The sequence below is a fragment of the Homo sapiens genome, chromosome 12, assembly GCF_000001405.40.
Source record: "Homo sapiens chromosome 12, GRCh38.p14 Primary Assembly".
Lineage (NCBI taxonomy): Eukaryota > Metazoa > Chordata > Mammalia > Primates > Hominidae > Homo > Homo sapiens.
Genome location: NC_000012.12, coordinates 68,631,906 through 68,654,077, shown reverse-complemented (window position 1 = coordinate 68,654,077; position 22,172 = coordinate 68,631,906). Strand labels below are relative to the sequence as shown.

Sequence of the window (22,172 nt, the reverse complement as noted above, 5' to 3'; positions counted from 1 at the left end):
AATGTTTTGACAGTTATTTTTACAATTTTCACAGTCTATAATTATAGCTCAATGAAGAATACTGTAGTATTATGTAACTTTGTTAAAATTATAATCTATGACAAGATACTATTTGAAAAAATTGGCATTTTAGTTTCTTTTTTTTTTTGAGACGGAGTCTTGCTCTGTCACCACGCTGGAGTGCAGTGGCGCGACCTCGGCTCACTGCAACCTCTGCCTCCCGGGCTCAAGTGATTCCCCTGCCTCAGCCTCCCGAGTAGCTGGGACAACAGGCGCACACCACCATGCCCGGCTAATTTTTTTCTTGTATTTCGGTAGAGACGGGCTTTCACCATGTTAGCCAGGATGATCTCCATCTCCTGACCTTGTGATCTGCCCGTCTCGGCCTCCCAAAGTGCTGGGATTACAGGCGTGAACTACCACGCCCAGCTGGAAATAGGTTTCCTATTTAAAAACAATACACCAAAGTCGATTTATATACAAAAAATATACTCAAGTGGAACAGAAATATCCTGTCCCCAAAAGTTACTAAAGGCAGCTTTTAAAATACATCATCATGTATAAAGCACCCCAACTGTATCTGCCAAGTTAATCTATTAGCTATGACTCAAATGCTGTAGTTCTGTAGGGCTCCATCAGCATGATCTAGACCATCCCATTTTCCCACACTACTTTTTCTTTGCTAGACTGTGAGCATTTGAAGGTAACAACACAGTGCCTGACATGTATCAGGTATTCAAACATTAGCTGAATGAATACCATACACCGAGAACAAATCTTCCCTTCATCTTCACATACCTACAAATTTAGTTTGTCTATAAATACGTTGAAGGAGAACAGATACCAATCAAAATATTTCTTTTTCTTTTGAAATGGAGTCTCACTCTGTCACCCAAGCTGGAGTGCAGTGGTGTGTTATCAGCTCACTGCAACCTCTACCTCCAGGGTTCAAGCGATTCTCCTGCCTCAGCCTCCCGAGTAGCTGGGACTACAGGTGCCTGCCACTGCACCTGGCTAATTTTTGTATTTTAATAGAGACGGGTTTCACCATGTTAGCCAGGCTGGTCTTGAACTCCTGACCTCAGGTGATCCACCCCCCTTTGACCTCCCAAAGTGCTGGGATTACAAGGCATGAGCCATCATACCCAGCTCAATCAAAATATTTCACACAGCTGCTGATGAATGAATGTATGCCTGTATTATTTGAAATATGGTAATATATTGTTTTAAAAGTACTAGTGAGACTGAAAATTTTTCTTCTAACACATTTTCTAAACTTTTCAATAACTGACCCACTGCAATTACAAAAAGTGCAATATACTTCCTCCGCCTCCCGGGTTCAAGCTATTCTCCTGCCTCAGCCTCCCAAGTAACTGGGATTACAGGTGTGTAACACCACGCCCGGCTAATTTTTTTTATATTTTTAGTAGATACGGGGTTTCACTGTGTTGCCCAGGCTGGCCTTGAACTCCTCACCTTAAGTGATCCACCCACCTTGGCCTCCCAAAGTGCTGGGATTACAGGCGTGAGCCACTGCGCCCGGCCAATATAAAATTAAGGATTCAACGGAACAACAACAAAAAGATTTAAAGTTTAGCAACTAGTAGTCTTATGTTTTTTTTTGACACAGAGTCTCGCTCTGTCACCCAGGCTGGAATGCAGTGGCACAATCTCCACAGTCTTGGCTCACTGCAACCTCTGCCTCCTGGGTTCAAGAGATTCTCCTGCCTCAGCCTCCTGAGTAGCTGGGATTACAGGCTCCCACCACCACACCTGGCTAATTTTTGTATTTTTAGTAGAGATGGGGTTTCACTATGTTGGCCAGGCTGGTCTCGAACTCCTGACCTCAAGTGATCCAGCAACCTTGACCTCCCGAAGTGCTGGGAATAGAGGTGTGAGCCACTACAACCGGCTGCAAGCAGTACTTTTAAATAAGCTTAACTAATATTTGTCTATAGAGTACTAGCATTTATGAAGTCAATACTGTACAAACGGTGTATATACTTTGGTATTTAGTTTTACCTACCGTTCCTGCAGTATCCAAGATTTCAAGCATACACTGTTGTGCATCTACTTCAACTTGCTGGTAGAAAAATTAAAATACATGTTCATTTTTTCAATGTACATAAAACTACCTTAATATACACAAAAAAGCTAATGTATCAAAAATAAGACACACAGATTTTAACAACTTTACAAACTAATATCCAGCAATACTTCAACAAAGCAGGAGGAAAAATAGCTAAGTAATCAAGATTCAAAGACCCCCAAATTGTAATCAAGTTCAAAAGCCATGTGTTCTCAAGTCAACACAGGGAAACCTACACGAACCAGTCTCAATATGGATTCTCAGCACTTAATTCTAGAGAAAAAAATAGTTTCGAAATAGCTCAAATAAACAAACAAAACCAGCAACAGTTCCAACAGTATCATAAGTAATTCTGTCTAAATTCTCCCATGATACTTTAGATATACCTCATTTCTCTAGGTAACTATATGCCCTCACCATACTGGAACAAGATTTCTGGAATTAAGGAAGCAGTGGCACAGCTATTAAATAAATTACACATATATCCCTGTTACCCCTTTCCATCTAATATTTCCTAGGGAAAAATAGGTATTTAGAATTAGATGTAGAAAGAAAAGAGTAATACTGTCTCACAGCTGGGGTGCAAAAGTTTCCAGTTTTTTTTTTGGTAGACTATGCACATGGAGGGAGGAATGGAAACACAGTATTTGTGCAACAGCGGGGCCAGGTTGGCTGCTTCATAGAGGTTGGGAAATACCTCTTTCCCTACTAAGTTAAAAATGTCTACACATTGTTTTATTGTCACATGCTGTTAGTGGACACAGGAATTCACCTTTCTATAGGCTGAGCATCCCTAATCTAAAAATCCAAAACTTGCAATGTTCCAAATCCAAAAGTTTTTGAGCCATGTGTGGAACATCACGCTACAAGTGGAAAATTCCACACATGAGCTCATGTGACCAGTCACAGTCAAAATGCAGCCAAAACTTTGTATCATGCATAAGAATATTAAAAATATTATGTAAGATTATGTGTATGAGGTGTATATGAAACCATGAATTGTTTAGATGTGGGTCCCATTCTATTTCATTATGTATATACAAATATTCTAAAATCAGAAAATAATCTGAAATCTGAAATACTTCTGGTCCCAGTTATTTCAGATAAGGGATATTCAACCAGTATTGTGAGTGGTGGCACTTTCTCAAGAGGTTAGTAAGTAGAAAGCTTAGGAAGACCTGTGTCCACCTATTTCTAGGTTAAAAAGAAGGGAGCTTGAGAGTAATCAGTCTTGCTAGGTAGGGGACTGAAAGTAACATGGGGCTACTACTTGAAATGGATGGTCTGCTTTAAAGTTTATGTGTCAAATTACAAAAAATTCTGTGAATATGTGAGAGTATGGGTGTTTATGATCCTCTTAAACTGGTAACTATGCAATGCCAGAAAGTGTAAACTTTTCCCACTAATTTTATAAATTAACTCTGCCTCCATCCTTTGTATAAAACATTCAATAATTATAAAGCTAAAATAAGTATTTATATTAAAATCAAAAGCAAAAGGCCTTCCAAAGTAATATATACCTTTCTATAAGAATCTTCTATCGTAGGATCGTATTTTTCTACAAAAATTCCTTGAACAAATTGTACAGTCTGAAAAAAAAATTAAGAAACCATTATACTTCTAAAGAAAAGAGTACATTCAATCTTTAATGTAATTGTAAACTGAGTTCACACAGGGAGTTACACCATCAATGAAAAAAAAAACCACAGCCAATACTACATTCGAATGTGTACATTTGGTAAGAAAATTACCTCAGGAAGCTGTTTATTTTTAAATAAATAATCACTATGCTCCTTATTGGGTAATTCTAAATTTAGAGATCATATATTAAAAAATTTTAAATGTCTCTGGTTTCAGTCCTTTGTTTTTTTTCTTTGAGACAGAGTCTTGCTCTGTCTCCCAGGCTGAAGTGCAGTGACGCAATTTTGGCTCACTGCAACCTCTGCCTCCCGGGTTCAGGCCATTCTCCCACATCAGCCTCCCGAGTAGCTGGGATTACAGGCATGCACCACCACACCTGGCTAATTTTTATATTTTTAGTAGAGACGGGGTTTCACTATATTGGCCAGGCTGCTCTCGAACTCCTGACCTCAGGTGATCCGCCCACCTCAGCCTCCCAAAGTGCTGGGATTACAGGCGTGAGCCACTGTGCCGGCATTGTTTCAGTCTTAAGAGCTTAAATTTGATTTTTAAATTAGAAATTGACTAATTGTTATGTATACACACATACATGCAGGATCAACTGACCTCCCCATCACTTTGGATACAAATGAAAAAGCAGTTCATTTCACATTGTATGTACTTCTCAGTTTGTTCCAAGCATGACACTTCTCAGCTAGGTGGCCTTTCTAAGTGGCCAAGATGGTTTATCTTATGAGTGAGACAGAAGGTCAATCTATTTGCTTGTGAGGCTTTGCTAAGCTCTGAACTATTCATCAAATTATTTTCCCTACGTTTTTCCTCTTTCCCAACCCTCATTACCCAGTTATGTCTTCATTCTTGCTATACCATTCCTTGATGCAGAAAACGTGCCGTTAAAAAATGTAAAGCTGGACAGTCAAAGGTAATATTTGAAGACTTTTTATAAGCTTTGATATTTTCTAACATAAAATGTACAGGGTAAGACTATTCATAAGAAGAAAGAGCAAGCCAGGCATGGTGATTTATGCCTGTAATTCCAGCACTTTGGGAGGCAAAGGTGGATTACTTGAGGCCAGGAGTTTAAGACCAGCCTAAGCAATATAGCAAGACGCCATCTCTACAAAAAATTTTAAAAATTAGCCTGGCATGGTGGCACGTGCCTGTAGTCCCAAGCATTCAGGAGGCTGAGATCACTTGAGCCCTAGCCTGGGCAACAGAGTGAGACCCTGTTTCAAAAAAATAAATAAATAAAAAGACCAAAATTTATTCCTATCTGGCTCTGAAATGCGAATGCAAAAAGACATGTATTTGTACGCTCTCAATCTCTGTGCTTAGCTCAAATTGTATTCCAGCATAACTCGTGTCATTCTGGAGTCAATGTTCCAGAGAGAATATGATCCACCCAGATATAATTAAAAGTTGAATAAAATTACAAGAAAAATATTATATTGCTTCTAAAGTCATTAAGGAATTTTATCTTAACAAAGACAAATCATCAAAACCTAAAACTCAACAGAAAAAGAACGTCTTGGAGTGAAAGGCTTAGGTAAAGTAAGAATGACTTACCAAAGCAGACTTTCCAACGCCTCCTGAGCCAAGAACGACTAGCTTATACTCACGCATGATGCAAGCTTGTCAAAACCTAGTACCTTATTAAAGGAAAAAAAAAAAAAGAATTCTAAGTAAAGTTGTGTATTCCTGTGCTTTTCACAGAAATAAAACATTCAGGAAAATAGATTTATTTAAAATGATTACTATACAACCCTAGTATGGAGCACCCTATAAGCAGACTTATTAAAAGATGCTCAGAGGTAGAAGAAAACTACAGAATTACAGACATGACTTTGAGCCCGATCCAGGATAGAGCACAGGTCTGAAAAGAAATCCAACCTATCACCTGTTTTGTTACATCAAGTTTTACTCAAACACAGCCATATCCACTCATTTGTGTATTGTCTGTGGTTTCTTCTGTGCTGTAACAGCAAAGTAGTTACAACAGAGCCTAAATATTTACGTATCTGGCCAAGCCCTGGCATACATAAATGGTAAATATAATATGTTGGTAGAGGAAGCAGAAGACCAAATATTTATTCCTAAAGTGGGGAACGTACAGACAACCTGAAAATGGTCTTGAATCAGAGGCAGAACTGAAGAATATGAGTTCCCAGACTGAAAACGTCTACTTAGAATGTTTAGTATGATGAAATAGTAGAAATAAAAACAAAATATATCCAGAAAGAAACAATCCATACCAAGGCTTATCATTATAAAATTTCAGTATATGAACAATAGACAGAAGGTCTTCAAGGATTCCAGGGTGGGGGCATTACATGAGAATAAAAGGCTCCTACATTCCTAGAAAAAAACTAAAGAGTCAGTAAAGTGGTACAAAGGTAGCAACCAGAACAGATTTTAAAACTTCTGATCAAGAAATGACAGTTTTTTGGGTCATGGTTAACAAAGCTACTATAACTGATTTAAATGATTTTAATCAACTAATAACAATTTGCCTCAGAGGATATGCTTCTACAAACTAACCAACTAATGAGGGTTCCTTACTTCTGAAACTCAGGCAATCAAAAATGGCCTGTTAAACAGACACATCCCAAAGCCAACCAATCAACAACTGTCTTCACTTGAGTGACAGTGCTTCTATAGCTAACATTAACCTGCTCCTGTCTTTGAAAGTTTGCCAACCATGGAACTTCCTAATTCCCCAAAATCCTGTAAGACCAGCAGTCTAGCAAGGTTGGGGAAATTAAAAAAAAAAAAAAGGGAAAAAAAGAGCAGTGTATCTGACCAGGATAGCTTAGGTAATCAAGAACTCGGCCAGATGTGGTGGCTCATGTCTGTAATCCCAGCACTTTGGGAGGCTGAGGTGGGTGGATCACTTGAAATCAGGAGCTCAAGACCAGCCTGGCCAACATGGCAAAACCCTTTTTTGGGGGGGGGGGGGGGGGCGGGGAGTGGAGTGGGGGGCAGGGACAGGGCTTCACCATGTTGGCCAGGATGGTCTCGATCTCTTGACCTCATGATCCACCTGCCTCGGCCTCCCAAAGTGCTGGGATTACAGGCGTGAGCCACCACACCCGGCTTCAAAACCCTGTTTCTACAAAAAAAGACAAAAATTAGCTGGGTGTGGTGGTACACGCCTGTAATCACAGCTACTCGCAAAGCCGAGGCATGAGAATCGCTTGAACCTGGGAGGTGGAGGTTGCAGTGAGCTGAGATCACACCACTGGAGTCCAGCCTGGGCAACACAGTGAGATTCTGTCTCAAAAAGATTCAATAGGATACAAAATAAAAATTGATTTAAGGAAATTTTCAAAAGTATTCTGGCAAAGACCCAACAGTTAAAGTAAAGAGATGGCCTTTCTTTTTGTATATGGGTTCAGGTCTGAAATAGGAAACCTAAAATGGAAAATTGGTAATCCGAAAAAATCTACAATGGTTGAGATTTTCAGAGTCTTACAAACAAACTAGAAAAAACTAAATAAAAAGGTCTTTGTTTTCGAAGAAATGCAAGCCCACAGATGAGGCTACTTGTACAAACAGAGCCACAGGAGGAACTGATGTTGCATGTTCACTAACAAATGGAAGTACAATAACCCCAAATCTGTTCATTATTGCTGCTCCAAAGGAAATATGAGCATCCAATTCTCCACCCTTCCTCCACTGGGAGTGAGAGTGGGACTGACTACATATAGTCACAGGAAACCTTTTGGGGGTGATGGAAGTGTTCTAAAAACTAGTTGTAGTGGGCCGGGCGCAGTGGCCCACACCTGTAATCCTAGCACTTTGGGAGGCTGAGGCAGGCGGATCACAAGGTCAGGAGTTCAGCCTGGCCAATATGGTGAAACCCCGTTTCTACTAAAAGTACAAAAATTAGCTGGGCATGGTGGTGGGCACATGTAATCCCAGCTACTCGGGAGGCTAAGGCAGGAGAATCGAGTGAACCCGAGAAGTGGAGGTTGCAGTAAGCTGAGATCGTGCCACTGCACTCCAGCCCCGGTGAGACTGCAACACTCCATCTCAAAAAAAAAAACACACCAAAAACTGGTTGTAGTGATGGCTGCATAACTATATATTCACTAAAACCTCCAAACATAACACAACTGACCGAAACAACATAAAAACTACAATTTTAAAATACTGAATATAAAAACTATACATTTATCAGAGGTGATTTTTCTAAGAGACGTATGCCTTTCTTATTTCACAAAGGTGGCTGAGTTGGCTGTGGGAGCTACACTTCTTAGTGAGGTGACTGGGACTCTTTTTCCCAGCTGCTTCATTTATCCATGAATGAGCATTATTATTTGTTGCTAGAATGAGTCAGGTTCATCCATATTATTGTATCTATCAGTAACTTGCTCCTTTTATTTATTACTGTTGATTAAAATATACCACATGAATACATGATATTTTCTTTACCCATTCACACCAGCTGATTTCCAGTTTGGGGATATTATCAGGGTATTTCTGTTACCTTAAACAGCAAAACAAAACAAAAAAAACCCAACAGTACAATAGTCAAGATTTGAATCAGTATTTTTCAAATCTGTGCTTTCTACTACACCAGCCTTGAAAAGACTGAAAAACAGATTTTTATTGCGAATGCCAACTCTGACTGACTGGCAACAGCCATTATCCTGTTTTTAGGATGGTGTGGTTGCATCTAGTTTTGCAGAAAAGACAACTCTGTTCAATAAGCAACATAATTGGCTTGTGGTGCTGGTAGGGACTGGGAAAGAGCTGTAGCACCTGTTATTTGTATAGCGTATTTGTGATCTTTAGGCATAACCTTTCTGTTCAAGTGTTCTTTTCCTGAAGTCCTTAGCTCAGGTTAAGAATGAGCACTTTGAAATATGTCAATTCCCTAAAATTTCATGCACAATTAAAAATGGGAATAGTTACATCAGATTTTCAAAGACATTTGTGACAACTACTATTTGAGACATTGAGACTAATTGTTCTCTTTCACAGAACCCCATGGGGGGACAATTTTGACAGCACAGCATAGTGGCTAATGGTACCTAAGTTTCAAATTGTGGTTTTCTATAATCTTGGGCAAGTCACGAAACCTTTCAGAGCCTCACTTTCCTTCCAGGTAAAATTAAGATAGTAACAGCTACATGATAAGGTTGTGAGATGGATTACAAAGAATGTAAACTCCATGAGGATAGGGATTTTTTTTGTTTTACTCACTGCCATATTCCCAGAACCTGAAACTGTGCCTGAAATATGTGATCAATAAATTAAAGAAAGAATAAGGAAAGAAATGTAGTAATTCTTCAGAGTCACTGACACAACACCTTGCACATACTCGTCAACAAAAGATAAATTTCAGGCCAGGCGTGGTGGCTCACGCCTGTAATCCCAGCACTTTGGGAGGCCGAGGCGGTTGGATCACTGGACCAGCTGGACCAGGCTGGTCAGAAGTTCAAGACCAGCCTGGCCAACATGGCAAAGCCTCTACTAAAAATACAAAATTAGCCGGGTGTGGTGGCACATGCCTGTAATCCTACTTACTCGGAAGGCTGAGGCAGGAGAACTGCTTGAACCCAGGAGGTGGAGGTTGCAGTGAGCCCAGATCGCACCACTGCACTCCAGCCTGGGCGACACAGCAAGACTCCATCTCAAAAAAAAAAAAAAAAAAAAGTAACTTTTAAAATAAGAGTAACAATGGTTTGAGCTGCCACTCAGTACACTAAAGAGGACTGCTATTCCTTCAGTTGAGAATCACTGCTCGACTTTTTTTTTTGAGATGGAGTCTTGCTCTGTCACCCAGGCTGGAGTGCAGTGGCGCCATCTCGACTCACTGCAACCTCCGCCTCCCAGGTTCATGCCATTCTCCTGCCTCAGCCTCCTGAGTAGCTGGGACTACAGGTGCCCACCATCACGCCCAGCTAATTTTTTGTATTTTTTTAGTAGAGACGGGGTTTCACCGCGTTAGCCAGATTGGTCTCAATCTCCTGATCCGCCCGCCTTGGCCTCCCAAAGTGCTGGGATTACAGGCGTGAGCCACCGTGCCCGGCCCACTGTTCCACTCTTTAATCTACTAGCTCAAAAACATGTAAGAACCCTCCATGTCAATATAAAAAAGCAAAAACCTGTGCATACATCAGTATTTTGAATCATTTAAAAATGTTCAGAGATAATGACTGGGAAATAGCCCTCTTTTAAGTATTTAAAAAACACATTACTAAACAAAAATCCTGTAATATTGGCATTGTCTCTGACCGCTAATATTAATCACAGAAGTCTTAATGAAATCTATTGTACCTCAAGTTATGCAGACTGTAATTTTGACAGCCTAGGAGGAATCTCATTATTACATTACCTCAAGAGTACGGAAAAAATCTTGAGATTATAATAGAAAATGAATTTCAATTCCCTGGAATAAAAAAAAGAAAAAAAATACATGACAAGGTGGGGGGATAGGGAATTTTCTTTTCCTTTTGCTTATTTTTTTTCCTGACAGTTCTATTGTTAATAAATAGAAAAAATTATAAAACAAATGAAACAAAAACTGAAGTTAACAGAGGAATTGTGAAGTTGTTCTATAACTACCCCAATATTATTATAAGAATGCTGATAATTACTGGCATTTTTAAGAAGTAGACTTTAGAAAACTCAAAAATACCAAGTTTAGCCACTCAACTCATAGAGTAACTATAAAATATTGATGTTGGAAAAGTACTGGATTAATAAACTAATGGTGAGGGTACCTTTTTAAAGAAACAAACAGGTAAGCATAAAAGAATCAATTAAAGTTTAATTCTATTCTTTAAGTCTTAATTACTTCTCAGAAAACACTTCTCAAAAAGGACTAAGAGATGCTTAACTACTGAAAATTACAACATTAAATATATTTTAAGTGCTTTATAGAAAAAGAAATACTCAATGTAAATACTGACATTTTAAATACCTATCTTATATCAATGCAATATTTACAATTAGCAAGCAAAAAATTTATCTAGAATGAAAAGATAAATATGGTAGCAAAGGACTTAAGTTAGTACTTTAACTGGTGTGCCACAAGTAAATGATTACATTCTGAGAAGCTTGCTCATTTTTAACTACTTGTACATCAGTAGAAAATAAGGATTAAGTCAAAAAGAGGATAGGAAGTAATACTAGAATACCTGATATTATAAATTATTAAGAGTTCTGACTATTAGAAGGTATTACTGCCATGTACTACCATTTAAAGTGAAGAGATTTTGGAAGAAAAACAAAAACTATAATCAACAGAAAAACTCTGAAAGAAATTTTAAGATGAACAACCTTCAAGAAGTTAAAGGCGGCTGCAGTGGACCGTGGGCAGCCAGGGTCGGTGAAGAATCCCAACATGGCTGGGCGAAAACTTGCTCTAAAAACCACTGACTGAGTAGCTTTTGCAGAGATCATACCCCAGAACCAAAAGGCCATTGCTAGTTTCCTGAAATCCTGGAATGAGACCCTCACCTCCAGGTTGGCTGCTTTACCTGAGAATCCACCGGTTATCGACTGGGCTTACTACAAGGCCAACGTGGCCAAGGCCGGTTTGGTGGATGACTTTAAGAAGTTTAATGCCCTGAAGGTTCCCGTGCCAGAGGATAAATATACTGCGCAGGTGGATGCCGAAGAAAAAGATGTGAAATCTTGTGCTGAGTGGGTGTCTCTCTCAAAGGCCAGGATTGTAGAATATGAGAAACAGATGGAGAAGATGAAGAACTTAATTCCATTTGATCAGATGACCACTGAGGACTTGAACGAAGCTTTCCCAGAAACCAAATTAGACGAGAAAAAGTATCCTTATTGGCCTCACCAACTAATCGAGAATTTATAAAATTGAGTCCAGGAGGAAGTTCTGGCCCTTGTATTACACATTCTGGACATTAAAAATAATAATTATACAGTAGACCAATAGCACCATAATTTTAGGCACAGTAAATTAGCCAATATCTCTCATTGCTAACTCAGTTTCATTTAACTTCTTGTGTTGCCTTTAACAACTTTTTTTTTAATATCATTCTCGCTTGAATTTCCAGTATAAGTGACAAGATTTTCTTCATTTACATGTGCTCTCTTTATGGTATTCCTTATAAACAAGAGCATTTATTTGTAAAAACTGGATGCAGTTTGAAACTATCTGTACAGTTAAGAATTGCTAGTTAACAATAATATGCCTATGTATGAGTTAATCTGCAAATGTAGTACATTTGTATTCATCTTTAGTCTATGAATTAACCAATTATACCAACTAATGAGGGACTCCTGGATCTTCATTTTACTCAACGCGTTAAACAGAAAAGACTGTAGCATATATGCGAAATGAACTTAATGTTATCAACAGTGCAACTATACGATACTTCATCAGCCAAAAGGTGCAATTTCTACATCATGTAGGCACATACACAATTATAAACTTTATGCATGATTCACACTGCCTCTCCAACACAATCTAAGATTACAGATGAAGAAAATCAATTAAATTTCTAAAGAAAGCTATCAAAATACTAAAAATTCCACTACTGTTCAAAGTATTTTCTACACTGTTTTTTTTTTTTACCTTTGATTCAGAGGAACTGTGGAATGCATCGATTTTTTCAAATGCATAAGTATTTCTTCTATTTATCTTTGAATATATTTTTTGGGTAGTTTTTAGTATTAGGTCATTTACATTTAAAGATTCCTAATTTGAGTTCCTTATATAATCACCTAAAATTTGCGTGACTGCAACTAACCTGATTGATGAAAGTAACTGACAGCTTTTACACTTGGCTATTTACTTCTTGCAAAATATCTACTACCTTACTCATTTGTTTAAAAGTAGTTTATTATTACTTCTACAACTTTTTCCATTTACTCTACAGACCGTAGTTTTATTTGCATTGGTTCTTTTTTATCAATTTAAAAAGCTGTTTAATTCTAGTTTCAGAGCAAACCACAGCAAAGACATGGAAAGACAAGAAAACAAAACCTCCTTTGGCATTGTCGAGAGTCCGGTTTCAGTGGCTGCTTCATAACTGTTTGAAATGAAAGTGGAAGAAGGGGGTGGTGGCTCATGCCTATAATGCCAGCACTCTGGCAGACAGAGACAAGCAGACTGCTTTAACTCAGGAGGAGTTCAAGACCAGCCCGGGCAACATGGTGAAACCCCGTCTCTACAAAAAATATGAAAATTAGCCAAGTGTAGTGGCACACACCTGTAGTCCCAGCTACTTGAGAGGCTGAGGTGGGAGCATCACTCGAGCCCAGGAGTCGAGGCTGCAGTGACCCATGTTTGTGCCACTGCACTCCAGCCTGGGTGACAAGTGAGACCCTGTCTCAAAAACAAAACGAAACAAAAAACATATTCTACATTAAGTTCAGTAAATTTATCTAAGATAATTATTTCATTAACCGGAGATTATTAACTAGTATTTTCACAAAACAATAATGAATGCTATAATAATTCTGAGTTAACAGAAAATCCTGAAGACATGAATCAAAGAAAATAAAAACTGGTCTTATGGGGTAGCTTTTTTTTTGTCTAAATGTGTTCACTATATTACACATCAAAATGCAAATAACTGATTTAATTATCCAACATTCTGGATTGCCTATAACATTCTTCCTAAGATTCAACTGTAGATATTACTGATCCAAATTATGAACAAGAATTATTCTAAAAAATCACTGAGGAAACTAAAAAGCGTAACAAAATGACAAATTTATGTATTAAAAAGAAAATTCTTGTTTATTTGATGCTGAGATTTATTGAGGACATACTCCATCAACCCAAGAACTGTGCTGGTCAGAAAAGAAAATCTAAGAAATGACACCTTCCATTAACACTACTATAATACAGCAATCAATATTTGACATCAATAAATATATAATGAGTACCTAATATATGTTAGGCACTATTCTAGGCAGTGGGAATATAAAGCAGTGAAAGAAAGACCCTGTCCTCAGAATTTATAATCTGGAGTAAAGGGTATAGAGGGGGAAACAAAGTCAGTATAAAGTGTCAGCTGTGATAAGCAGTATGGAGAAAAAAAAAAGAGATAAGAATGGATGGTTTTATATGGGGTGGTTATGAAGAACTTCTATTAAGGTGAAATTACTATATAGCTCAGTACACAAAGAGTCCTGTCAATGGATTGATATTAAATTTTGTTTTTAACAAAAGACTACCATTAGGCTTTGTCCTGTTGAGCATTTAAAAAATCATCTTTGGGCCGGGCATGGTGGCTCATGCCTGTAATCCCAGCACTCTGGGAGGCTGAGGTGGGTGGATCACGAGGTCAGGAGATGGAGACCATCCTGACCAACATGGTGAAACCCCATCTCTACTAAAAATACAAAAATTAGCCGGTTGTGGTGGTGCATGCCTGTAATCCCAGCTACTCAGGAGGCTGAGGCAGGAGAATCGCTTGAACCCAGGAGGCAGAGGCTACAGTGAGCTGAGATTGTGCCACTGCACTCCAGCCTAGCACAGAGCAGGACTCAGTCTCCCAAAAAAAAAAAAAAATCTTTGGTGGGGTGACATGCTAATTAGTTTGTGGCTGAAGTTAAATTTGGATTTGGGAGTCAATCCAGCCCCTTCCTCTGCAAAAAGGGGCATAAATGGGATTTCTGGAGAAGTCTAAATGTAGTTGGTCTTATGAGGTGCTGTTTTTCAATATGTACAAAATGCCCTTTGGTGAGTTCCTGTGCCAGCTCTTTAGAGGAGGATATGTACCTCTTTTCCTCAGCTGTGTAGCAAAAACAACACAGATCAGGGCAGCATATCTCAAGATGCAGTTCTTAGGAGGTTAGTGTCAAGGAAATGTCTCTGAAGCATTCTTGCACTAACTCAGCCCACAGTGATCATTCTCCTTCATGACAAGTTATACCAAATACTTTAGGACTTGATTACGTATTACCTTGTACTATTTTCTAAGGAGACAACAAGCTGTAGAAAGTAACATTAACTTTGAATTTAAGAAGCTCTATTTAAAAAGTCGTATATTTTGAGATAAATCACTTAATTCTTGGTTTCCAGATTCCTTGTCTACAAAAAGATGGAATGAGGGAAAGGGGAAATACTGAACACTCAGATGACTTACATCAGCCAGGTAACCATGTAAACGCTTGAAGCAGTTAAGGTCTTATTAGGTAATAACATAGACTGTGGTCAAGTAGGGAGTGAATGCTTTACGGGTAAAGTCATTTGAATTCTAAAAATTATGAATATTGTATAAACCAACAAAATCAATTTGAGAGATAAGAGCTCTGAACCCTGGTCCAGCAGTTTTTGACTTCTCGACTAGATCCCTAAAGTCCCTTTCAATTATAAAATGTTTTGTTATAATAATGTTACATGTACCAGACTTTGAAGAATTAAACATAAATGGAATTTTAAAAGCATCTTAGGTTGGGCGTGGTGACTCATGTCTGTAATCCCAGCACTTTGCGGGGCCGAGGCAGGCAGATCACTTGAAGTGAGGAATTCGACACTAGCTGGCCAACATGGTGAAACCCCGTCTATACTAAAAAATACAAAAATCAGTCGGGTTTGGTGGTGCATGCCTGTAATCCCAGGTGCTCAGGAGGCTGAGGCAGGAGAATCATTTGAACCTGGAAGGCCGAGGCTGCAGTGAGCCAAGATTGCGCCACTGCACTCCAGCTTAGGCATACAGAGTGAGACTCTGTCTCAAAAAACAAAAAAAAGTTAGATTCCTTAATTACTATAAAAAAATAAATTGCACTGGTAATAAAATTTAATATAATCTAAATATTATTTCTCTAACTTCATAATGGTTGTTTGATATTATAGATATTTTGGAGTCATTATCTTTCAAAAACAATACACATTTTAAAAAGGAGTGAAAATAAACGTAAGACAACATCCTTACTCCTAAAGTATGCACAACTGGGAAAATCCATTAAGACTAGTGGGCACTCAACCAGGACAAGATGCAACCACATTTTCCTTTACCTTCTCGCATGCTATTTATGCAAATAAAAGCCATGTAACTAAAAATTAGGGCACGGACATGACATCCTCTCTCAGGAAACACACTTCTCTTCAAATAATACCACAAATAAAGAGACTAACTGTATAAGGGATTATACAAATTGGTTACAGAGATTAAGACTGGGAAGTAAAATATAAAAAGAAGTTAAAAACAAGTGACTACCAAGGAAAAAATCTATATACCAAATATACAAAAAATGTGGACTAGTGAGCCAAGTGTCACCAGACTGTACTATAAAACATTAAAGCCAACAACAGATTACCTTTAAAGACTGCTTTAATCCTATCCAGGATAAAACACAGTTGAACAATGGAATTTTAAAAACTTAAATTTGTATTAATCCAGTTAGCAAAATTTGCATCCCAGGTTACCTTAAAAACTTTGAATCCAAAATTATCTTGAAAAGCAAACAAATTAACTCATTAAAAAAAAGGACCCATATTTAAATAACATAAAGCAATTCTACATTTTAAGAAGATGAAACCAAATAACTGACATTTTAAGAGACTTCCTGAACTGAGTGAGGCTAGTTCATAATTGGTAAATAAAGAAATCCTGGGGCTGGTTTGAGGCCCAAACTCAGTTTTTCCTTATACACTTAAAAGTAAATACTGTATCATCTTTGGAGCTCAGGGTGATAAAACATGAAATCTGGAAATAAGGAGACCAAAACTAGCTACGTAATTTACCAGGGGGGTGGTCATTTATTTCTAGGCTGGCATCTTGTTTTTTTTTTTTTTTTTTTTTTTTTTTTTGAGATGGAGTTTTACTCTTGTCACCCAGGCTGGAGTGCAGTGGTGTGTGATCTCAGCTCACTGCAACCTCAGCCTCCCTGGTTCAACTGATTCTCCTCTCTCAGCCTCCCGAGCAGCTGGGATTACAGGTGCGTGCCACCACACCTGGCTAATTTTATATTTTTAGTAGAGGTGGGGTTTCACCATGATGGCCAGGCTTATCCTAAACTCCTGACCTAAGGTGATCCACCCGCCTGGGCCTCCCAAAGTGCTGGGATTACAGGCGTGAGCCACTGCACTCGGCCTCTAGGCTGGTGTCTTAATCTGTGAAATACGGACAACAATACTGACTGTACCGAGTTGATGGACAGATTAAGAATGTACACTGTTTATTAAAGATTTACATGTTAGTTATTACCATCATCAAGCAGCTGCAGGGTAGTACTTATTTTGGTACCCACTATTTGGTCTATAAATGTTTGCTGAATAAAGACTAATAATTCATTTCCAGCAAATGACAGAAGTATATAGACTTTTAAAAGAAGAGTAGTAAGTTATCTTTTTATAGGTAAATTGCCATTTAAGTTCACATCAATTATTGACAGATGCCATGAATCCCAACTGAAGATGAAATACACAAATCTTGGCATTAAAAAAAGTAGGGACAGGCCGGGTGTGGTGGCTCATGCCTGGAATCTCAGCACATTGGGAGGCTGAGGTGGGTGGATCACCTGAGGTCAGGAGTTCGAGATGAGCCTGGCCAACATGGTGAAACCCCATCGCTACTAAAAATACAAAAATTAGCTGGGCATGATGGTGCACACCTGTAATCCCAGCTACTCCGGAGGCTGAGGCAGGAGAATTGCTTGAACAGAGACTCCGTCTCAAAAAAAAACAGCAGGGATAGGCATGGTGGCTCACACCTACCTGTACAATCCCAGCATTTTGGGAGGCTGAGGTGGGAAGACTGCTCAAGACTATTCTGGACAACACAGCAAAACCACACTTCTACAAAAAATTTATAAAGTAGCTGGGTGTGGTGGTACATGCCTAGAGTCCCAGCTGCTCAAAAGAATGAGGTAGGAGGATCACTTAAGCCCACGAATTGGAGGTTACAGTGAGCTATGACTGCATTACTGCACTCTATCATGGGTGACGCAAGAACTTGTTTCTAAAACAAACAAACAACAAAAAAACAGTGCTTATACTTGCCTTCTAGGAATCACAGTCCAGTAAAAATGCCCTGCAGCAGAAACTCTAGTGTTAAAACCAACTTCTGGGTTCCAGAGACAATTGCTCATAACTTTGTAACCTGATTTCTTTCTTAAATCTCATTAATAAATGAAGAAGTAGCTTATAAGAATCAAATCCTTGAAAAGCAATAAGCAACATTTAAAAAGCATAATTTCTGTCCCTTAAAATATGCCAAAAAAAATAGCTGACTGTCATGGCTCATGCCTGTAATACCAGGACTTTGGGAGGCCAAGGCGGGCAGATCACTTGAGGTCAGGAGTTTGCGACCAGCCTGGCCAATATGGTGAAGCCCCATCTCTACTAAAAATACAAAAAAAAAAAATACTCGAATGTGGTGGCGGGCGCTTGTAGTCCCAGATACTCAGGAAGCTGAGGCAGGAGAATCGCTTGAATCCAGGAGGCGGAATTTGCAGTAAGTAGAGATTTTGCCACTGCACTCAAGCCTGGGCTACAGAGCAAGACTTCGTAACAAAAAAAAAATTTCATGGGTATAACCAAAATGGAAATTTTGCAAAAGCAGTTCTCCAATCTCAAGTTGTTTAACTACTACACTCACCCCCTAACCCCAGTTTGAAATTCTGTGACCCTAAATTATAAAAACAGGCCTAAGTAGGCCAGGCACGCTGGCTCATGCCTGTAATCCCAGCACTTTGGGAGGCCGAGGCGGGTGGATTGCTTGAGGTCAGGAGTTCGAGACCAGCCTGGCCAATATGGTGAAACCCCGTCTCTACCAAAATACAAAAATTGGCTGGGTGAGGTGGCGGGCGCCTGTAATCCCAGCTATTAGGGAGGCTAAGGCAGGAGAATTGCTTGTACCCAGGAGGCGGAGGTTGCAGTGAGCCGAGATCGCACCACTGCACTCCAGCCTGGGTGACAGAGTGACTCTGTCTCAAAAAAAGAGGCCTTAAATACTGGTTCCTGAAGTCAGGTAACATTACTTCTCCCACTGCACTTTCTGGAAGAGAAGATACTTGATTTCTCCTTTCCATCTCCAACTCCAAAAGTAATACTTTAACAGCTAAAGAGGGTAACTGTGTCCTTTTCTCATTCCCAAATAAAATCAACTAATTCAACTGTCAGAAGGACCTGTTATGAATCTGTTTAACACAATGACAGACTTTAAAAATTCTTTTTGAAGGAAAAAATAAGGGGCCCAAACACTGCCTCTCCTACCCTCTTTTAAAAATAAAACTTCTAACAAGGAACTATAAAATAAATAGAAAGCTGCTAAAATGAAGACTGCTTATCATATTTACTTTGAGTTGTCTGCCTCTCTCATAATGAGGACACATGGAAAATGTTTCCAATCTTACTCATTCTGCCAAGAAAGATCTCCTGTGAACAAGATTTCTAAATCTAGAAAGTGCAAAATTTGTAGATTATCAAACTGTGTATAGCATTTTCTCTATTCTGATCATATTTATAATACCTCAAGAAAGAAAAAAATTCCCTTGCCCTTTTCATGGATTAATACTGCTAGTAAATCAAGTTTTTTCAATTAATCACACCAACTTTCTCCCTGAAATATTCAACAACATATAATTTGACATGCAACGTAAGGTTAGCTTTTCCAGCTTTATTTCTATAGTTACCTTTTCAGTTCAGTATTTGATCATGTATGGTAGAATACAGAATAGAGGGTAACAATTTATCAACAATCTGACAAATGCAGAAGAACCAGTTTAATAGATTTCTCAGCCGAGTCAAGAGATAAGCAAAATAGTTAAGTGATTTTTTAAAAAAGGAGAGACCAACAATTCAAAAACAGGTAAAAAAAAAAATAATAATATAGGCTCAAGATCACCTTATTAGTTTCTATCAGATCTTTCCAAATAGGCTGTATTTGTGTAGAACTCCTCCCTGCTCCCAATTCTCTAGATGTGACTTAAAAAAATGTCCTTTTTTCCCTGTCATCTGAACTAGCAGTAAAATCTACAGGGATGCATACTGACTCAGTATAGGCTTTAGATCCCATTGTCTGGGTTGGAATCAGTTCTACTTGAGTGGCTTTGGTCTCGTTATTTTAAACTGTGTCTCATTTCCTCATTTGAAAATGGAAATAAAAGTATCTACTTCTTACAGTTCTTAAAGATTCAAATGAAATAACTTACCCTATGCAAAATGTGTAGCACAATGAGTAACACATAGGAAGTAGCCAGTAAATGTTAATTTGCTATTTTTTAAAATTATATCTATCTAGGTGTTTATAGTGCTTAAGACACCTAAAGGACTTCAATAGCATATTATTTTAATAGGTAGCTGTATACCTGGGAGTTGTCATGGATTCTTCTCTCTTCACTCCATTATCAAGTCTGATTCATTCTACCTTGGTATTTCTGGAATCAATTCCATTCTCTCTACTCCACTACCTTATACTGGGCCTTATTATTTCTTACACGGGAAGAGGAGGATACAAGAGGCAACGAGAAAACATTAATTTGCTTTACACCTCAATTTCAATGACCAGATTAGAGATGTTAAGTTTTTTTGTTTTTTTGAGACAGAGTCTTACTGTATTGCCCAGGCTGGAGTGCAGTGGCACGATCTCAGCTCACTGCAACCTCCACCTCCCAAGTTCAAGTGATTCTCCTGCCTCAACCTCCTGAGTAGCTGGGACTACGAGCACACGCCACCATGCCTGGCTAATTTTTGTATTTTTTAGTAGAGACGGGGTTTCACCACATTGGCCAGGCTGGTCTCAAACTCTTGACCTCAAGAGCCGCCTGCCTCGGCCTCCCAAAGTGCTGGGATTACAGGCTTGAGCCACCGCACCCAGCCGAGATATTAGTTTTAACTGTGACAGAGGTTATGTGGCCCAGAAATCTGAGGAAAAGCAAATGTGACAACTACATATTAAAGCCCAGAAGACACTCTGTTTTATAAATTAAAATGTTCACAGTGTTTGCGCTGTGTTAGCTCACAATGAAGCAGGGTCTACAGAATAAAGTGCTTGCTGTGGATGCAGAGAAGAGAACAATTGTCTATCTATAAAGAACTACCAGGCAAGGCTTCCTAAGTGGATACTTAAACCAGACCAGTGGATATATAAATCATTAGGGAATAGGGGAGTTCACTTGGAAAGTGAGGGCGCTCTGGGGAACGGGATGAGTATGATTGAAGTCATCAAGTCATGGGTGGTGGGGGGTTCAGTGGAGGTATGGGGGAATTTATTTTGTGATAATAAATCTCAACTTAGTTTTAAGGTTTTAGATGTAAGATGTCACCCAATGAACTCTGATGATGTTTTTCCCAGCTTATGAGAAATAGAAATAGGAACAGAAAAAAATACTGCACAAAACTGAAAACCTTTCTAACTTAGTGAGCTTCTCACAATAAAACACGCAGTGAATAGCTTGTATTGTACAATAAACCATAACATATAAAAATCGCCTGCCAACTGGGCATGATAGCTCACATCTATAGTCCCAGTTACTTCAGTCTTGCTTGAGTGGGAGGACTGCTTGGGGCCAGGAGTTCCAGACCAGCCTAGACAACATAGTGAGGCATCATCTCTAAAAAAATCATTAGCCCATACAGTGCCTATAATCTCTGGATTTGCTCCCATTTCCTCTTTATCTGAAGCCTTTTGTAAAAAGGAGAGTTAAGTATCTTATATCTTATTTTTAATTTCTCTAGCAATAGACACCACTGTTGTGGTCAAACCACTGCCACCATTTACTCCACATTCTTTTACAGGGTCTACTCTAAAAAAAAACTGTGTCTACTAACCATAAACCAAACCTACTGAAGAGTCCCTCTGCTTGTGAAAAGGACATCATTCTTTTTCAACTTTAGTCAAAATTTTCCCACATTTTGGCCTTTTTTATCATCTGAATCTGATCTTTACATTTCTACATATGAGTATAATCTTCCAAACATTTGCTTAAAAGGCACAAGTAATTTTGCTTTGTTAATTAAAAAAAATTTTTGTTTGGCTGGGCATAGTGGCTCATGCCTGTAATCCTAACACATTGGGAGGCTGAGGCAGGAGGATCACTTGAGGCCAGGAGTTTGAGACCAGCCTGGCCAACATGGCAAAACCCTGTCTCTAATAAAAATACAAAAGTTAGCCGGGTATGTTCACACACACCTGTAGTCCCAGCTACTCAGGAGACTGAGGCCCAAGAATTGAACCTGGGAGGCGGAGGTTGCAGTGAGCTGAGACCGTGGCTGCATTCCAGCCTGGGTGACAGCCAAACAGTCTGGAAAAAAAAAACAAACAAAAAAAAAAAAAAAACAAATCCAAAACCCAAAAAACTGTTTCCTTCATGTTCATTTTATGTGTTTATTCTTTAAAAAGAAAAAGAAAAAAAAAACCTGCAGTAAAGCACTGATATGCAAAAAAGATGGCTACATCATGAAGTGGAATCAGAGTGACCAACGGTCCAGGTTTAAGCACGGAAAGTCTCATGTCTGAGGAAACTCTCCATCCTGGGAAAACAAGAATGGTTGGCCATTTTA

At 38.8% G+C, this 22,172-nt stretch overlaps 1 protein-coding gene and 1 pseudogene across 6 annotated transcripts in view, besides 3 other annotated features; one reads left to right on the top strand and one right to left on the bottom strand.

Moving 5' to 3' along the window:
• The window catches only part of RAP1B (RAP1B, member of RAS oncogene family), a 61,003-nt gene that overhangs the window by 17,824 nt on the left and 21,007 nt on the right, over positions 1–22,172 (bottom strand). For 3 of the 6 annotated variants that reach the window (NM_015646.6, NM_001010942.3, NM_001251922.2), the window contains exons 2-4: positions 5,297–5,379; positions 3,610–3,678; positions 2,027–2,083 (exon numbers count right to left, since the gene is read on the bottom strand). In NM_015646.6, the coding sequence (NP_056461.1) occupies positions 2,027–2,083; positions 3,610–3,678; positions 5,297–5,353 (183 nt within the window). In that variant the 5' untranslated portion in view covers positions 5,354–5,379. The remainder of the gene's footprint in view (positions 1–2,026; positions 2,084–3,609; positions 3,679–5,296; positions 5,380–22,172) is intronic. The other 3 variants (NM_001251917.2, NM_001251918.2, NM_001251921.2) reach the window with 2 other exon arrangements.
• Positions 6,263–6,463: a silencer, noted in NCBI's record as "peak1779 fragment used in MPRA reporter construct". NCBI's record gives its function as "represses an SCP1 promoter by STARR-seq MPRAs in K562 erythroleukemia cells {active_cell/tissue: K562}" and the evidence as "EXISTENCE:reporter gene assay evidence [ECO:0000049][PMID:32103011]".
• Positions 11,040–11,633, top strand: ATP5PDP4 (ATP synthase peripheral stalk subunit d pseudogene 4; annotated as a pseudogene).
• Positions 12,793–12,922: an enhancer, noted in NCBI's record as "active region_6642". NCBI's record gives its function as "activates an Ori minimal core promoter by ATAC-STARR-seq in GM12878 lymphoblastoid cells {active_cell/tissue: GM12878}" and the evidence as "EXISTENCE:reporter gene assay evidence [ECO:0000049][PMID:35858748]".
• Positions 17,507–17,626: an enhancer, noted in NCBI's record as "active region_6641". NCBI's record gives its function as "activates an Ori minimal core promoter by ATAC-STARR-seq in GM12878 lymphoblastoid cells {active_cell/tissue: GM12878}" and the evidence as "EXISTENCE:reporter gene assay evidence [ECO:0000049][PMID:35858748]".